The 17,923-nt window shown below is 48.5% G+C and overlaps 1 protein-coding gene across 5 annotated transcripts in view; it reads right to left on the bottom strand.

Moving 5' to 3' along the window:
- UNC45B (unc-45 myosin chaperone B) overlaps positions 1-17,923 on the bottom strand; it is a 41,529-nt gene that overhangs the window by 4,457 nt on the left and 19,149 nt on the right. For 2 of the 5 annotated variants that reach the window (NM_001033576.2, NM_001267052.2), the window contains exons 10-19: positions 16,528-16,828; positions 14,958-15,052; positions 14,634-14,775; positions 13,427-13,567; positions 10,520-10,647; positions 8,855-8,921; positions 7,759-7,872; positions 7,279-7,394; positions 4,213-4,330; positions 1,307-1,462 (exon numbers count right to left, since the gene is read on the bottom strand). In NM_001033576.2, coding sequence (NP_001028748.1) covers positions 1,307-1,462; positions 4,213-4,330; positions 7,279-7,394; positions 7,759-7,872; positions 8,855-8,921; positions 10,520-10,647; positions 13,427-13,567; positions 14,634-14,775; positions 14,958-15,052; positions 16,528-16,828 — 1,378 coding nt within the window. Of the gene's footprint in view, positions 1-1,306; positions 1,463-4,212; positions 4,331-7,278; positions 7,395-7,758; positions 7,873-8,854; positions 8,922-10,519; positions 10,648-13,426; positions 13,568-14,627; positions 14,776-14,957; positions 15,053-16,527; positions 16,829-17,923 lie in introns of all 5 variants that reach the window. The other 3 variants (XM_017024234.2, NM_001308281.1, NM_173167.3) reach the window with 2 other exon arrangements.

The following is a 17,923-nucleotide window of genomic DNA, read 5'->3' as shown; positions in this document are numbered from 1 at the left end:
AGCATCCAACATGGCCATGGGGTGGCACAAAAGATGAGTCTGAGCAGCTTCACAGAGTCCCCAGGAAGCCCCATGTCAGAACAAAAATGCAGCCAAGATGTCTGAGCCCCGCAAGGAAGACCGACAAAGTGGCCAGGAGTGGGTTGGCAATCCTGAAGGGTCCCAATCCCTTCCCAACTAACAGCCTGCGTGGCCTTGGGCTAGTTGCTTTTCTGCACCTCAGTTTCCTCATTTGTAAAATAGGGATGATGACAATAATAATATCCACCTCACACGGTGGTTGGGAGAATTAAATGACTTAATAAATGTAAACACTTAGGGCAACACCTGGCACTCAGTAAGTGCAAGGAGTCACAGAGGGTCCTGTGAGGACCTGCAACAAGAGTTATGTGACCAGTGACACCAGCAGAGGCTGCTCTAGGGCAGCGGTTTCAAAGTGTGGTCTCCAAGCTGTTAGCCTCCCACCCCCAATCTACTAAATCAGAACACGTTGGGAAACTGTTCTAACAAGTTGCCCAGGTGATTCTTACACACATTACAGTTTTGAGAAGCTTGCCTTAGAGAAAGAAGCTGAAGTCCAAAGACCATGCAGGATGAGCTACATTCAGCAGATACACCCTTGCCAGATGCCAGGACAACGTAACCCCCCTTGGAACTTAGAGAACACACCCGCTGATACACACATACCTTACACTGACTATCTAGAAGAGCCTGCCTTTAAAACAGACATGAACACCTTTGAATTGAGATGTCCACATTTTTCACCATGGGGAGAGATGAGTGCCCACAAACTCTTCAGTTTGGTGAAATAAGGAAAGTTTCATTGTGCACTCCCACGTTTGTGACTATACAGATATCATTTCCATTACACCTGCTGCAATGGCCACAGTCTCATAGGAGCTGGTCATTGTGCCCACTTAAGAGAATCTGCAGCTTTTTTGCCAAACCATAAGCTCCTTATGGCATCCCAACCACATCCGTGCTTCTCTTGGGAAGCTCTGGAGCTCCATGGCAGTGGTTAGCATTGCTATTGTTCTTAAGCAATGAGGTATATGCACCACTAAAGGTAATGGGTGAAACTCCAGTGGGAGGGTTTGAGCTAGCACACTTGGGAAGACCAAATAATGAATGTAAGGCACTGAAGTGAATAAACCCTCCTCTCCTTAGGCAGTAGGAACAGAAGCCTGGGGGCTGCGAGGGGTTTCTTTAGGAGTTGGCCTCCCCAGAGGATCATCCAGTGTGGTCTGTGGGTGGGGAGATTCCCTGGAGCCACCCAGCCCGTCCTATCCCCAGGGCCAGCTCTTACCACTTGAGTCATCTTGAGGCACAGTTTCTTGTGTGCTGCTGTCAGCATGGCCAGAGCCCCTGCAGCCGCATTCTGCACCTTATCATCATCCTCCCCGCAGAGCAGCACCACCAGCTTCAGCCGGTCATTCCCGTCAGCCAAGAACCTTTCCTGTACCTGTGGGAGGCAGGAACATGGCTCAGAGAAAACTGTCCCCAATCTGCCCAGCCTGAAGAGGGAAAGATACATCTGAAGTTCTCTGACCCAAGATCTCTTAGAGTTTCCCTTTGAGCAGGTCACTCATGCTACCTCCCCCAAGAAGCCTTCCCTGACTGGTTGAATGAAGGGGCTACAAATTCTTCCAAGTAAAGAAAATAAGGAATTCCCCATCTAGTGTGCTTCACCACCTCTGTTTGCATTCAGCCTCCACACCAGGGGAAGGAGGCAGGCACAGACTCCTGCAGGGTAGATGATGCCTGAGGAACTGTATTTCCCATCCCTTTGGGGAACATTGGAAGGTTTCTCCCATAATGGATGGGCCTTCAGGGTCTTCCATAAAATGATTTTGCAGGGACTGGGGCAGAAGCAGGGAACAATTATGTGGTTTGCTTGGTATTAGAAAGCTACAGTGCCGTCTCCACCAGGTGAGAGATGAGGCTTCCCAACGATCTGAAAACCAGGAGAAGAGCTTCCAGGGGACCAGTGCCCTGATATGTCTCAGAGAGGTATTAACCCCTCACAGCATCTCATCCTCACCCCTCTGCACTACTGTAAAATCTAGGTGGTCAAGTCTCAGCGCATTCTACTGGGCCAGGTTTCCTAGAAGTGGAACTCCAAAAGGGGACCAAGATCACAGCTTCCCAGATGTGACCCTCTACCTGCATCTCCCTGAAGCTGGAGCAGTGGTCATGGGAGGTGAGAGCATGGCAGAGGTCACCATATATCAGAGGGGTCAGCATGGCCCCCTCTCATGGGACACAGCTGCCCTTACATGGACTACATTCCCCCATTTCTCACATCTCGATGTGGTGGTGGCCTAGTTCTCATAGATGGAACATGAGTGGAAGTGATGTGTCACTTTCAGGCACCTCTCCCTCAGTCTGTCTCCCCATTCACCATCAGAATGGAATCCACTCCCAGTGTGGCAGAGGAGAAGACAGTTCTTGATGATCAAAGAAGCCTGGATCCCTGAGTCAGCTTGAAAGTGAGCCACCCGGCCGGGCGCGGTGGCTCACGCCTGTAATCCCAGCACTTTGGGAGGCCAAGGCAGGCAGACCACGAGGTCAGGAGATCAAGACCATCCTAGCTAACATGGTGAAACCCCGTCTCTACTAAAAATACAAAAGATTAGCCAGGGGTGGTGGCACGCGCCTGTAGTCCCAGTTACTCGGGAGGCTGAGGCAGGACAATTGCTTGAACCCAGGAGGCGGAGGTTGCAGTGAGCTAAGATCACACCACTGCACTCTACCCTGGGTGACAGAGCCAGACTCCATCTCAGAAAAAAAAAAAAAAGTGAGCCACCCAATCCAAATAGGACTTTGACATGGTGAGCAAGAAATGAACTTCTATCCTATTGGGACCACTGAACATTTTGACTTGGGTTGTTGCAGCAGCCGGTGCTCCCATAGGAAAGGTTGCCTCCCTCCTCCCATTACCTCTCTCAACCTCTCAGCCTCCCCGCCCATCTCCTTGGACACACTCTCTGTCTCCCCTATGGCTGCCAGGCCCCCAGCCCAGCCTTAGGCCAGTTCCCTGGTAGACCCTGGTAGCTTCATTCCCCCTGACTTTAATATGCTTTTTTTTTTTTTTTTTTGAGATGCAGTCTTGCTTTGTCACCCAGGCTGGAGTGCAGTGGCATGATCTCGGCTCACTGTAACCTCTGCCTCCCAAGTTCAAGTGATTCTCATGTCTCAGGCTCCCGAGTAGCTGGGATTACAAGCACCCACCACCATGCCTGGCTAATGTTTGTACTTTTAGTAGAGACAGGGTTTTGCCATGTTGGCCAGGCTGGTCTCGAATTCCTGACTTCAAGTGACGCATCCACCTCAGCCTCCCAAAATGTTGGGATTGCAGACATGAGCCACCATACCTGGCCTTTAATCGGCTTTAATGGGTTAGGTTTTCCCCTATAACAGTGAGAAGGTCTAAGGTTCAGGTGTTGAGGGTAAACAGACTGGGTCTCACGCTAGCCCCTATGTGAGGGCCCAGGAGGGACATTCGGCTTGGCCCTCATGTTAATGAAGGGCCTCAAACTTAGACCCTGCTGTTATCTCTGATAAGATTACACATACAGTCACAGCAGTACTCTGACAGGATGGGGAGAAGAAGACATTCACCAGATGGGTATCATTTGTCCCATGACTGGACCATGAAGCCTACGGCATGTTCTGAATTCATTTTATTTTTATAAACCCTGTAATTATTCTGTGCTGAGTACAGTTATATTGCATTGCAATTTCTATGGGAACAGTGGTAGTTCATTAAATGCTGACATTTGAGACATCCTAAAATGGCTGATAACTGTATTTGGCATTTCTTCATTTTTTTTATATATGTGGAGCTTCAATAAATGCAAGTGGTCTAGCCTTCCTTGACCTCTGAGAGGCCCTGGTCTCATATCCTGCTTTGTTTTAAGGTTATTTGGGCCTAAGTAACTTAGGGAAATGGTGCCTTCCACCTCATCTAGCCCAGGGTCTGGATTGAAAGCCCCAGCTTTGTATTTTTTCCTTTATGCATATCTTTCTCTCAGGGCCCCTACAGGGAGGGGGGCTATAATCTAGGAAATATTTAGGGATTCCTGGATTTTCTGCCCAAAATGCTACCTTAATGCCATCATAAGAGCTCCCGATCTCACCCCAGGCCCTGACCCTGGCCTGCCTCTCGTGCCTTGATCACGCCCGGGTCTCCATCCTGAGCCCCTGCCTCACCTCCTTGTGGAGCACCATGTTGCACATGCACTCGGTGGCCGCCTGCCGCAGCTGATCATGATTCTCAAACATGTAGTTCTCGATGTCTGGCAAGGCCCTCTCCTTAAAGATCTTCTGCCTAGGGTAGGAGGGTGGAGGAAGAAAGACCCTTGAGTCTTCTGCCGTGACCATAGGGGTTTTCTGGCCACCCAGGGACCATTCTTCCATTCTGGTGCTGTCCTTCCCACATCCTCAGCCAGCATGGTTTATGTGGCATCACACTGCCCCCAGCTCTAGGAGGGGCACCATGGGCCTCAACTAAATTGTATAGCATGGCATCCTGGCCACAGCAGTGGGTTCTGGATATCACCCAACTGGAGAGCCTCTGTATTATTGCAGTAAAGAAATTCTCTCTCTCTCTCTCTCTCTCTCTCTCTCTCTCTCATCCTGGATGTAGATCCAAGAAGATGTGAAGGCCAGAACTGCCCTTATAACCATGAGAGAGCAGAAAAGCCCATTGAGAATTAAAGCAATACAGAAAGGAGAGGAGAGACAGAGAGAACAGGAACCTAAGGCAGCTTTGTAAGCCCTGCATCAAGCCACACCTGAATCTTGTTACCCCAGACTTTTTATCTACATGAGCCAATAAATTTCCTTTATGCTTAGGCCTATTATAGTTAAGTTTTCTGCTACTGGCAACCAAAAGAATCCCAACCCAGTACATGCTGACATACTCCTGCTTCCAAAGAGGAATACATTTTATCCCACTATCCACCTGGATATCTTTTTTTTTTTAATACTTTAAGTTCTAGGGTACATGTGCACAACGTGCAGGTTTGTTACATAGGTATACATGTGCGTGCCATGTTGGCTTGCTGCGCCCATCAACTCGTCATTTACATTAGGGTATTTCTCCTAATGTTATCCCTCCCCCAGCTCCCCACCCCCAACAGGCCCCGGTGTGTGATGTTCCCCGCCCTGTGTCCATGTGTTCTCATTGTTCAACTCCCACCTACGAGTGAGAACATGCGGTGTTTGGTTTTCTGTCCTTGTGGTAGTTTGCTCAGAATGATGGTTTCCAGTTTCATCTATGTCCCTGCAAAGGACATGAACTCATCCTTTTTTATGGCTGCATAGTATTCCATGGTGCATATGTGTCACATTTTCTTAATCCAATCTATCATTGATGGACATTTGGGTTGGTTCCAAGTCTTTGCTATTGTGAATAGTGCCACAATAAACATACGTGTGCATGTGTCTTTATAGTAGCATGATTTATAGTCCTTTGGGTATATACCCAGCAATGGGATTGCTGGGTCAAATGTTATTTCTAGTTCTAGATCCTTGAGAGCCAAATCATGAGTGAACTCCCATTCACAACTGCTACCAACAGAATAAAATACCTAGGAATCCAATTTACAAGGGATGTGAAGGACCTCTTCAAGGAGAACTACAAACCACTGCTCAACAAAATAAAAGAGGACACAAACAAATGGAAGAACATTCCATGCTCATGGATTGGAAGAATCAATATCATGAAAATGGCCATACTGCCCAAGATAGTTTATGGATTCAATGCCATTCCCATGAAGCTACCAATGACTTTCTTCACAGAATTGGAAAAAACTACTTTAAAGTTCATATGGAACCAAGAAAGAGCAGGCATAGCCAAGACAACCCTAAGCAAAAAGAACAAAGCTGGAGGCATCATCAGGGTCAGGTATCACGCTACCTGACTTCAAACTATACTACAAGGCTACAGTAACCAAAACAGCATGGTACTGGTACCAAAACAGATATATAGACCAATGGAACAGAACAGAGGCCTCAGAAATAACACCACACATCTACAACCATCTGATCTTTGACAAACCTGACAAAAACAAGAAATGATGAAAGGATTCCCTATTTAATAAATAGTGCTGGGAAAACTAGCTAGCCATATGTAGAAAGCTGAAACTGGATCCCTTCCTTACACCTTATACAAAAATTAACTCAAGATGGATTAAAGACTTAAATGTAAGATCTAAAACCATAAAAACCCTAGAAGAAAACCTAGGCAATACCATTCAGGACATAGGCATGGGCAAAGACTTCATGACTAAAACACCAAAAGCAATGGCAACAAAAGCCAAAATTGACAAATGGGATCTAATTAAACTAAAGAGCTTCTGCACAGCAAAAGAAACTATCATCAGAATGAACAGGCAACCTACAGAATGGGAGAAAATTTTTGCAATCTACCCATCTGAAAAAGGGCTAATATCCAGAATCTACAAAGAACTTAAACAAATTTACAAGAAAAAAACAACCGCATCAAAAAGTGGGCAAAGGATATGAACAGACACTTCTCAAAAGAAGACATTTATGCAGCCAACAGACACATGAAAAAATGCTCATCATCACTGGTTATCAGAGAAATGCAAATCAAAACCACAATGAGACACCATCTCACGCCAGTTAGAATGGTGATCATTACTACTGTAGAAAGAAGTGCTGGCTGGGTGCGGTGGCTCACACCTGTAATCCAAGCACTTTGGGAGACCAAGGCGGGCAGATCACCTGAGGTCACGAGTTTGAGACCAGCTTGGCCAACATGGGGAAACCCTGTCTCTACTAAAAATACAAAAATTAGCTGGGTATGGTGGCGTACTCCTGTAGTCCCAGCTACTCGAGAGGCTGAGGCTGGAAAATAGCTTCAGCCCTGGAGGCAGAGGGTGCAGTGAGCTGAGATAGTGCCACTGTACTCCAGCCTGGGCGACAGAGCAAGACTCGGTCTTGATAAGAAAAGAAAAGAGAAAAGAAAGAAAAAAAGAAAAGAAAAGAAAGAAAAGAGAAGAGAAGAGAAAAGAAAAGACAAAAGAAAAGAAAAGGAAAGAAAAAAAAGAAAAGAAAAAGAAGGGCCTTGTAGCATTTTTTGGCTTTGGTATAGTCACTGTGTGGTTTGTGGATTTGTGCTAACTCAAATCCCACCCCTTGCCTTTGTGTTGTCTTCAGAGAAGAGCATTCTCAGCACATTATGTGAAATTTCAAACAAACACTTTTTGAGCCACCTCTCTCCACCCCTGCCACACTCACCACACTCACCGGAGTTTGTCACTCCGCCCAGACAGGTTGGTGAGGCCTAGGAGAGCCTCATAGTTCTGAAGCCCATCCCTCTGTGTGTCCAAGAGTCTTACAAGGGGCCGCACCACCTCATACACCTGTTGGGGAGGGGTCAAGGGTTTGGTCAGGTGAGGACTTTGTTCCCTGAGTGCCTCACATTTATAGGTGACCAGCTGTAAAGTTTCCAAAGCACTTTCTCATACATTGTCTGATTTCATCCTCACAATGATCCTGACAGGCAGGATTATTTTCTTTATAGATAGGATAACTGAATTTTGGAGAGGGCAATCCGGTTTGTCAGAGGCAGAACCAGGCCTGGAATCCAGGTGCCTCCATGCATCACCCTCCGTGTGACAGCACCATGCCCCTGTCCCAGGCTCGAGGTAGAATGACAAGGGGAAAGGCCTCTAGGAGCAAAGGAGACCCCTCCCATTGCCCTATCCCATCTACCCAAGCACCTACCCGCTCCCCAGGAAAAGCAATGTCCGGATTGGAGACAGCAGCGATCTTTGCTAGAGCGTGGGCTGCCTTCACCTTGCCCACATCTGTGCCCTCCAAAGCCAGGGGAATCAGGGCCTGCAAGAAAGGGCAAGGTCACTACTTAGTCACAGACATCCAGAGGCTTCTCGCCTATCCTCCTGCTCCAGGTGCTGTCTGTCTGTCCCATGGGAGGTCCAGGAAAATTCTGCCGTATAATCAGCCCTTGCACATCATGGAAAACAATTAAATCCTTAATCACATATTCACTCCTCTTGATTCCCAGTGCACATTCAGGTCTTTACCCCACTTCCTCCCACCCACCTAAATATTCCTTCAGCTTTTGGAAAAATAAATAATTCAATCAACAAATTTTTTACTTTCTGCCCAAGCCAAACTCAATCCTTTTGTTTGTTTGTTTTGTTTTGTTTTTTTGAGACAGAGTTTCGCTCTTGCTGCCCAGGCTGGACTGCAATGGCATGATCTCGGCTCATTGCAACCTCCTCCTCCTGGGTTCAAGCAAGTCTCCTGCCTCAGGTTCCTGAGTAGCTGAGATTACAGGTGCACGCCACCAGGCCCAGCTAATTTTTGTATTTTTAATAGAGACGGAGTTGCAGCCAAACCCAATCTTAACATCAGACATCTATTGAGCACCTACCATGAATCAATACTTTCTATATTTTCTCTAATTCTTGTGACAGTCTGCAAATTGAAAGTGTGATTTTCCCCCTATTTTACAGATGAAGAAGCTGTGGCTGGGAGATTAAGTATTTTGCCTGAGGTTATGCAGTCAGAAATGGGAAGAGCAAGAACTCAACTACAAGTCTTCTACATCAAAGTCCAGGGTCTGTCTTTGCACGGTGCTTCCTTCCAACAGCAAGGAGGATAGATGGGATTCCAAAGTACATACCATCATAGCATAAAGTCAAGCAGAAATTGGCTTGGGGCTATGAGCACAGACAGCGCAGATAACTGGTGGCCGTATTCCAGGAGGTCGAGTTGGGGCAGAGGGTACATAATTCTTGCGCTAGGCAAAGAGCATGCACAAAGGCACCTTCTAGGAAGGCACCTGCCCAGTTACCTTGCCACCACCTTGAGCCACAATGGTGCCTCGGTCCTTTGGGTTGTCACACAGTGCCAGGAATACCCTGTGGGACCGAGAAGAAAGGAGAACAGTTAATACACCAGCACACCTTCCCAGGCAGCAGCAGCAGCAGGCCAGCCAGTCGGAGCCAGTGAAACCCTGGGATGAAAAGGGAGACTATGGAAAGTGCCACTTGTGTGCCTGTGCCCCAGAATTAACCACTTTGGGAAGATGACATCATGGGAATAATTGGCTGGGAAGGAAGTGAGGCCAAGTGAGGCTGCAAAGAGCACTCCCCACTATCACTATTTAGGGATGCAACCACCCAGGAGAAGCTTTTCAACTTCAATGGATGTGCCCCAGGTCCTCCGTGATCTGGCTCTGGCTTCCTCTTTTGTCTCATCCAGCACCAGCTCTTCCTATGGATTCCCTGCCCCAGACATATTGCAGGAGAACCCCAAATTCACTCATTCTCTCTCCATCCTCAGTGTCTTTGCAGATGCTATTCTCTCTGCCTGGAACCTTCCCTCTCCTGCATTTAGGTGGCTCCTTTGCTTCCTTCAGAGCTTGAGTTGTCACATCCCCCAGGAGGCCTTACCAGCTGCCCACCCACCTCCCCTCCAGTCTGGCTGGTTGGGGAACACTGCTTGTGCTCCAATCAGCCCTTTATGCTTCCCACATCATGGCATCCATTGCATCGGACTGTAGCTGTGATCTTGCCTGCCTCCCTGGCCAGGCTGCACACAGACTGTGCCTTTAATCTCTGAGAACAAGGTAACAAGAAGGAACAGTGGCCTCCTTTCTCCTGATACAAACTTCCACCTGTGATGACCTGCCCAACATACCACTTCTCTTCCTTCCTTTCCTTCTTTCCCTCTTTCTTTCCTTCTCCTTCCTTCCTTCCTTTCCTTTCCCTTTCTTTCTTTTCTTTTTTCTTTCTTTCTCTTTCTTTCTTTCTTTCTTTCTTTCTTCTTTCCTTTCTTTCTTTCCTTCTTTCCTCTCTCTCCTTCCTTCCCTCCTTTCTTTCTTCCCTCCTTCCTTCCCTCCCTCCTTTCTTCCTCTTTCTTTCTCTTTCTTTTTCTTTCTTTCTTTTTCTTTCTTTCTCCTTCCTCCCTTCTTCTTTTCCCTTCCCTCCTTCCTTTTTTCCTTCCGCCATCCCTTCCTTTCTCTCTCTCTCTCTCTTTCTCTCTTTCTTTATTTCTCTTTTGTATAGAGACAGGATCTTGCTCTGTTACCCAGGCTGGAGTGCAGTAGCACCATCATCATTCACTGCAGCCCTGAATTCCTGGGCTTAAGTGATCCTCCTGCCTCAGCCTCCCAAGTAGCTGGCAGTACAGGTGCACACCACCGTGCCAGGCTAATTTAAAATTTTTTTGTACAGATGGGGTCTCAATATGTTTCCCAAGCTAGTCTTGAATTCCTGGGCTCAAGCAATCCTCCCACCTGGGCCTCCCAAAGCCCTGGGATTACAGGCATGAGCCACCACCCCTGGTCCCATGTCACTTTTCAAAGCTGATCCCCTCAGACCTTTCTCCAGGCTTTCCCAATAGTTTATCTCCTCATTTAGGCCCCCACCATTTCTATCTCCCTGCCCAGTGTGCTGCACTCCAGGACCCTCGGCCCCCAGCCCTAGTTCCAAGCCTTGGCCCACTGCAGCCCCACCTGGCCAGCAGCTCCTTGGTCTGGTCAGTGAGGATGGCACTATCTGCTTTCACCATGCAAGCCAGGGCAGAGATGACACCCGCCTTCAGAAGCCGCTTCACCCGCATGTCTATAAAGTCCTTCTTGTCCTGAGGAGATGAAAAGATGGCAATGTGGGAGGGTCCTGGGTGCCAGGCCAATCGGTATTGGAACCAAAGATGGTGCATTTCTGAATTCTTGGGGTTGGTTGAATAATGGCCTCCAAAGATGTCCATGGCCTGGCCAGGCACAGTGGCTCATGCCTGTAATCCCAGCACTTTGGGAGGCTGAGGCGGGCGGACCACGAGGTTAGGAGATCAAGACCATCCTGGCTAACACGGTAAAACCCTGTCTCTACTGAAAATACAAAAAATGAGCCAGGCGTGGTGGCGGGCACCTGTAGTCCCAGCTGCTCAGGAGGCTGAGGCAGGAGAATGGCATGAACCCGGGGGCAGAGCTTGCAGTGAGCCGAGATCGCACCACTGCACTCCAGCCTGGGCGACACAGCGAGACTCTGTATAAAAAAAAAAAAAAAAATCCATGGCCTAATCTCTGGAACCTGTGAACGTGGGACCTTACATGGCAAAAGGGATTTTGCAGACACGATTAAGTTAAGGATTTTGAGATGAGGGGGTAAGCCTAGATTTCTGTGTGGGCCCAATATAATCACCAGGATCTTTATAAGAGGGAGGCAGGAAGATCAGAGTTAGTACTAGGAGATGTAACAATGGAATGGAAGTGAGGTCAGAGTGGTTCAAGGTCACCAGCCAAAGCATGTAGGTGGCCTCTAGAAGCTGAAAAAGGCAACAAAATGATTCTCCCTTAGAGCCTCCCAAAGAAACCAGCCCTGCTAACACCTTGACTTTAGCCGAGTGAGACTCATTTTAGGACTCTTGACCTCCAGAACTATAAGATTTTTAAAACCGGGCCAGGCGTGGTGGCTCCCGCCTGTAATTCCAGCACTTTGGGAGGCTGAGGTGGGTGGACCACTTGAGCCCAGGAGTTCGAGACCAGCCTGGGCAACATGGCGAAACCCCGTCTCTACTAAAAATACAAAAATTAGCTGGGCATGGTGGAGCGTGTCTATAATCCCAGCTACTCAGGAGGCTGAAGCAGGAGAATTGCTTGAGCCCAAGAGGCGGAGGTTGCAGTGAGCCAAGATTGCACCACTGCACTCCGCCTGGGCGACAGAGGGAGACTCAGTCTCAAAAAAAAAAAAAAAAAAAGTATAAAAATTGCGTTTTAGGCCACAGTGCGTGTGGCAATGTGTTCTAGAAACAATAGGAAACTAAGACACTTCTCCAGATTCCCTCTTCCCAAGCAACTGCCAAGGGGTATACAGCACGCCTTGCTGTCGTGTGTGATTGTCTCTCCTCTCTTCTTCCTTGCCTTACCTAATCCCAAGACAGAGCCTGAGGAGCTGATACCGTAGAAAACCAGTCCCAAAGATTCTCTCATTCACAGAGGAATGAAATAAAAGACGGATAATCCAAAAGACTAAATGATGCGTATATTGTTTTTCTTGGAGAAGGCTGAGGTGGGAGTGGAGGTAGAGAGAGGGTATAGGCAGGAAAGGACACAGTGGATGAAGCCGCCATAACAATGGATTGGGTTTGCTGGAAACCCAAAGTCAACCCAGGGTTAAAGAGTCCCTACAGATAATCCTCAGAGTGAGGAGTGGTGGGGAAGGGGCTGACAACCCTGGGCAAGCCCTGGAAGCCACACTGGAACTTCACAGCCACAGCACATGCTCTGCACCCTTGCCTGGATGAAACATCATGCAGCTTTCAAAAATGATTCAGAGGCCAGGTGTGGTGGCTCATGCCTGGATTCCCAACGCTTTAGGAGGCCGAGGTGGGTGGGTCACTTGAGGTCAGGAGTTTGAGACCAGCCTGACCAATATGGTGAAACCCTGTTTCTACTGAAAACACAAAATTAGCCGGGCATGGTGGTGCATGCCTGGAATTCCAGCTACTTGAGAGACTGAGGCAGGAGAATCACTTGAACCTGGGAGGCAGAGGTTGCATTGAGCCGAGATCTCACCACTGCACTCCAGCCTGGGTGACAGAGCAAGACTCTGTCTCAAAAAATAAATAAATAAAATAAAAATGATTCAGAGAATGAGATGGCAATGTGAAAAACATATTTTTCCAAAATTGGGCACAAAATGATAAATATATTCTAATTATAACTGTGAAAGGAAAAAAGATACATAGAAAAAAAGCCTCTGGTAGGTAACATAACATCAAAATGCCAACAGCAGTCATGTGGAGATGACGTAATCATGAGTGGTTATTTTCTTTTCCCCACATTTTAACTCGTTTTGCAGCATGATTATATTACTTTGATCATTAAAAAAATCTAAATGATTTTATTGGCTGGCAATATCTTGCATATATTCTTAAACAAATCACACACAAATCATATCTTCATGTGCAGGGAATTGTTGGAGAGGGTTCCAGGGGATCTGTGACTTCTGGGCTAATGCTGACCATGCCTCTCCTCTCATGATTCCTACTTAGCACCCATGTCACAAAATCCAGAAATCTGAGAAAATCAAATTGTTATCTGTTGGAGACATGAAATAAAACTGTCTTTTATCCATAAAATCAACAACACAAATTGCAAAGTGTCCATCATGGCTCTGTTTGTTTTCTCAGACTATAAATTGTTGGATTTTTTTCAAAATAGAAAATAAAAACAAAGAAAAAGCATGAGCACCATCTGGTGGGAAAGTTTACCATTAACATATTCAATGTATGTGTATCTTACCCCCAACCACCCAAACACACACCGTGCCACTCCTGACACCACTCCTTTTGCCGTTCCGCCTCCTTTGGAGGCCTAGTGGCACAGACCAGACCCCTCCCGGGTCGCGCCTGACCCTACCTTGGGGTGTTCCTCGGGCACATGCTGCTTGGAGAACTTGGCGAGCTGGACAAGCTCTGGGATGACCTCCTTGACATCGTAGCTGTTGGTGCAGTTCACCAGGGTGGTGGCCACCGAGTACAGGATGGTCTTGTCACTGGTCTGGAAGGCACAGGGTTGGGGAGAGGGAAAGCAGAAAGGAAACTTTAGGACAAACCTCTGCTTCCAGGATGCTCCCTCACGTGGCCGGCAGGTTGGTGTCGGAGGAGTGCAGCTGGTAGGGCCCATTCTGAGGAAAGACAGCAGCGCAGGAGAGGAACGGTTCTCCCCATAAAGGCAGGCAGCAGTGTCTCCTGCACCCTCCACAGTAGCTCTGACAGTATGAATAGGAGCTGTCCCACAAAGATCCTCGCTTTGCGCCTCTTCCACAAGCCCAGTCTAACACTTTCCCATCCAACTGGAGATGGGGTGGGAGCTGGACATTTTCCGGTCCTGGTGAAAATCTCTCCCATGCTTCCTCCATTTACTGGTAGAAAAGGGCCAGGGAGTTGGCCCAGCAGATGAGGAAAGGAGTCTGGGGGGGCCTGGGAGGGAGGGCAGGTTCCCAGAAAGGCCAGGCACAGCCTCTTTTATTTATTTATTTTCTTGAGGCAAGGTCTCTCTCTGTCACCCAGGCTGGAGTGCAGAGCTGGAATTCTAGCTCACTGCAGCCTCGATCTCCCAAGGCTCAAGCAATCCTCCCACCTCAGCCTCCCGAGTAGCTGGGATTACAGGTATGTGCCACCACGCCCAGCTAATTTTTGTATTTTTTGTAGAGTTGGGGTTTCACCATGTTGCCTAGGCTGGTCCTGAACCCCAGAGCTCAAGCCATCCGCCCGCCTCAGCCTCCTGAAGTGCTGGAATTACAGGCACGTGCTACGATGCCCTGCTTTTTTTTTTTTTTTTTTTTTTTTTAGCTGCCTCAGGTCCTTCAAGACCTCACCTCCTGAGGGCCCCAGGAAAACAAACTGCCCTCCTGTGCATCTTCCCATCTCTGGAAGGCATTGGGAGTCGGGAGTCCATTTTACAATCAGGTAAAATGAGGGCCAGAAAGGGGGAAATAACCAATCATGTTTATACAGGGGTAAGGAGTAGAGCCAGGAGGAAGACTGGGATCCATTCCCTGTGGGTCTGGACCCAGCAGACCTTTCCTGAGGTTTGTGGTCGGGCCAGACTCCCCGACACCTGCCTTGGCCAGCTCAAACATGGCCTGCAGGGCAGGGACGTCCTGGACAAAGTCGTCCTTCACATCAGCGTCCAGCGTGAGGTAGGCCAGGCCCTCCACTGCCCAGCGTCGGGTCCGAGTGTCTATGGACATATTGCACAGCCACCTGGAAGTGAGGAGGGAGCACACATGGGAAGGGGCCCAGGGCTAGGTCAAGAGGGTGAAGCGATTTCAGGGTGGTGAACCAGGGGTGAGGTCCCTTTCACACTCCACTAGAGCACACCCCAGAGACTCTTGCCCGGAAGGCGCATGAGGAGATGGAGGGCCTGGGAAACACAGCCCCCTTACTTGCGACACTGTTTGGCCAGTTTTTCTGTCGACCCTTCCGCAAACTGCCTGAGACCGTAGTCTGTGCCACCTGCAGAGCCGAGCTTACAGAGTCCCTGAGGAGGAGAGGAGACAGCAGACACATGCAGGATCAGAGACACCAAGGCTTGGGGATGAAGCCTTGCTCAAACAGGTTTCTATGGCCAGAACACTTCGCCCCTCTTTCTTTGCTTGGATCCACCTCTGTGCAGACTGTAAAACTCAGCTCAGGTGTCACCTCTGCTGAGATACTTTCCCTGATGCTCTGGGTTAGGGTAGAGGCCCATAAAGTTGCAAATTCTTGACCTGCCCCCTTCCCCCACCATTTTGACCCCACAGATGTATTGTGCCTGCCATTTTGAAAAACCAGCAAGACCAAGTTAACCATATCTGAAGCTTCAATGGGGAACCTTGTTACGGCACAGAAACTGACAGAGAAATCCTATCTTCTGGATAACAGATTCAGATGTGCAAAATTTTACCCAGAGAAAATTGGACTTTTCTTAGGGGGGCGGTTTCATAAGAGAAAATTCACTTTTGTCAGAAGCTAGAATTTGTTTTTAAAAAATTGATGCTGGGTGCGGTGGCTCACGCCTGTAATCCTCCCAGCACTTTGGAAGGCCGAGGCGGGTGGATCAGTTAGGCCAGGAGTTTGAGACCAGCCTGGCCAACGTGGTAAAACCCCATCTCTACTAAAAATACAAAAATTAGCAGGGTGTGGTGGCAGGCATCTGTAATCCCAGCTACTTGGGAGGCTGAGGCAGGAGAATCGTTTGAACCCAGGAGGCGGTGGTTGCAGTAAGCCGAGATCATGGGGGTTGCAGTGAGCCAATATCATGCCACTGGACTCCAGCCTGGGCTACAGAGGGAGACTCTGTCTGAAAAAATAATAATAATAATAATTTCAGGCCAGGCACAGTGGCTCACGCCTGTAATCCCAGCACTTTGGGAGGCCCAGGGGGGTGGATCACCTGAGGTCAGGAGTTCAGGACCAGCCTGGCCAACATGGCGAAACCCCGTCTCTATTAAAAATACAAAAATTAGCTGAGTGTGGTGGCACACGTCTGTAATTCCAGCTACTCTGGGGGCTGAGGCACAAGAGTCACCTGAACCTGGGAGGCGGAGGTTGCAGTGAGCTGAGATTTCGCTGCTACACTCCAGCCTAGGTGACAGAGTGAGACTCCATCTCAAAAAAACAAAAAGTAAAATGAAAGTGGAAAAAAAATACCTTATAGAAACTGATTAAGGAAAGTGACTCTTCAGAATTTGCTCTGAAAATGCATTCTGGACACAAGCTCCTCAGTGTTCATGTTGTTCATAAGCAGGGAGACGAACGTCCTCAGGGTTAAGCAGCAGAGTTCACGGTTCTGAATCTACATCCTCACAAGCCCCCTGGATATTGCCCTGTTCTGCAGGGGTCTGTGGCTGGGTCTGGTGCCCCCTTGAACCTGGTCTCCTCAAGGACAGCAGCCTCAACTCATTCATTTTGGTGTCCCTGGTGCCTGGCATGGCACCTTGTACTGAGTAGGAGGGTGGTACCGAGCCCACTCACCACCAGTGTGCGGATCTTGATCTTCTCATTTTTGGTGGTCTTGTAGATCTGTTTGAGCAGTGACACTCCATTGGTGATGATGAAGGTGGCGCGGCTGAGCTTCGTGGAGGCATGGATGAGGGCCTCCACGGCCACCAGCTGGTCCGTCTCGCGCTCTGAGCCACATAGTGCCACCATCATCTCCATCACACCTTTCAGTCCCAGCAGCTGGTTGCCCAGGTCAAAGGGGCCCTGCAGGATCCCTGACACTGTCTGGATGGCATTCAAGTTCTTGTCCATGTCCTGGGGGTCAAACTTGCCCCTAAAACAAAGGACAAGGGTGGTCAAGAGAACTGGTCCAAGAGAGTGGAAAGAGTGTGAGATTTGGAGGCAGTAGGATTTGGATTTGCATCCTGGCTCCACCACTCATGTGCTGTGTGATATTGGGCAATTCAGCGAACCTCTCTGAGCCTCAGCTCCTGTAAACTGAGGATAGTACTACTAGTTCTCAGAGTTGTGGTGAGGATAAATGACATAACAGCTGTGTCACAGAGTGTGCCTCTGGGAAATACACTCTGACTCAGGGATTGACATGCAGGAAGTTTATTAGAGAGAGCTCTTGGGAAGAGAAGGAAGCAGGACTGGGGCAGAGGGAGGCATTTTGCAGCTATCACAAAGCCTCAGCCTCCAAGAAGTTCTGGAGCTGGAAGACCCTTCACAGTTGTTCCAAGTTAGAGTGAGTCTTTTTCTTTCTTTTTTTTTTTTTTGAGACTGAGTCTTGCTCTGTTGCTGGAGTGCACTGGTGCCATCATAGCTCACTGTGACCTCAAACCCCTAAGCTCAAGCAATCCTCCCACCTCAGCCTCCTGAGCAGTTGAGACTACAGGTGCACACAATCATGCTCAGACAATTGTTTAAATTTTTTTGTAGAGATGGGATCTTGCTATGTTGCCCAAGCTGATCTCAAACTCCTGGCCTCAGATGATCTTTCCACCTGGCCTCCCAAAGCACTGGTATTATAGGTCTGAGTCACCTCAACTAGCCTGGTGTGAGTGTTTGCATACTGGCTTCCCTGGGAAGGGTGAAACAGCTCTCCCCAGGTGAGACAAGTCCCAAAGAGAGATAACAGCTGAGAGCTGTCAGCTGACAGCCTTTCCAGCAGCTGCTGTGTCTGGGAGGACAGTACAGCATTGACAACAACACAAAAAGGCCTAGCGTGATGCCCGGCACACTGTGTCTCTCTGTGACATGGCCTGGGCCAGTCACTCCCCTCTGGTGATCTGGTCTTAGTCCCTTCCCCTGTTGGTGAGCATGTGGGCTAGATATCCAGGAACGTTCTGCCTTGCTTTCAGAATCTATTATCATCTACTCTAGGGGAGAATCTCTGCGTGGGAATGTCAGAGGTGACATGCCTTCT

The sequence above is a fragment of the Homo sapiens genome, chromosome 17 (genome assembly GCF_000001405.40).
Source record: "Homo sapiens chromosome 17, GRCh38.p14 Primary Assembly".
NCBI lineage: Eukaryota > Metazoa > Chordata > Mammalia > Primates > Hominidae > Homo > Homo sapiens.
Note: the sequence above shows the minus strand (reverse complement) of the source record. Positions and strands in the feature narration are given on the sequence as shown.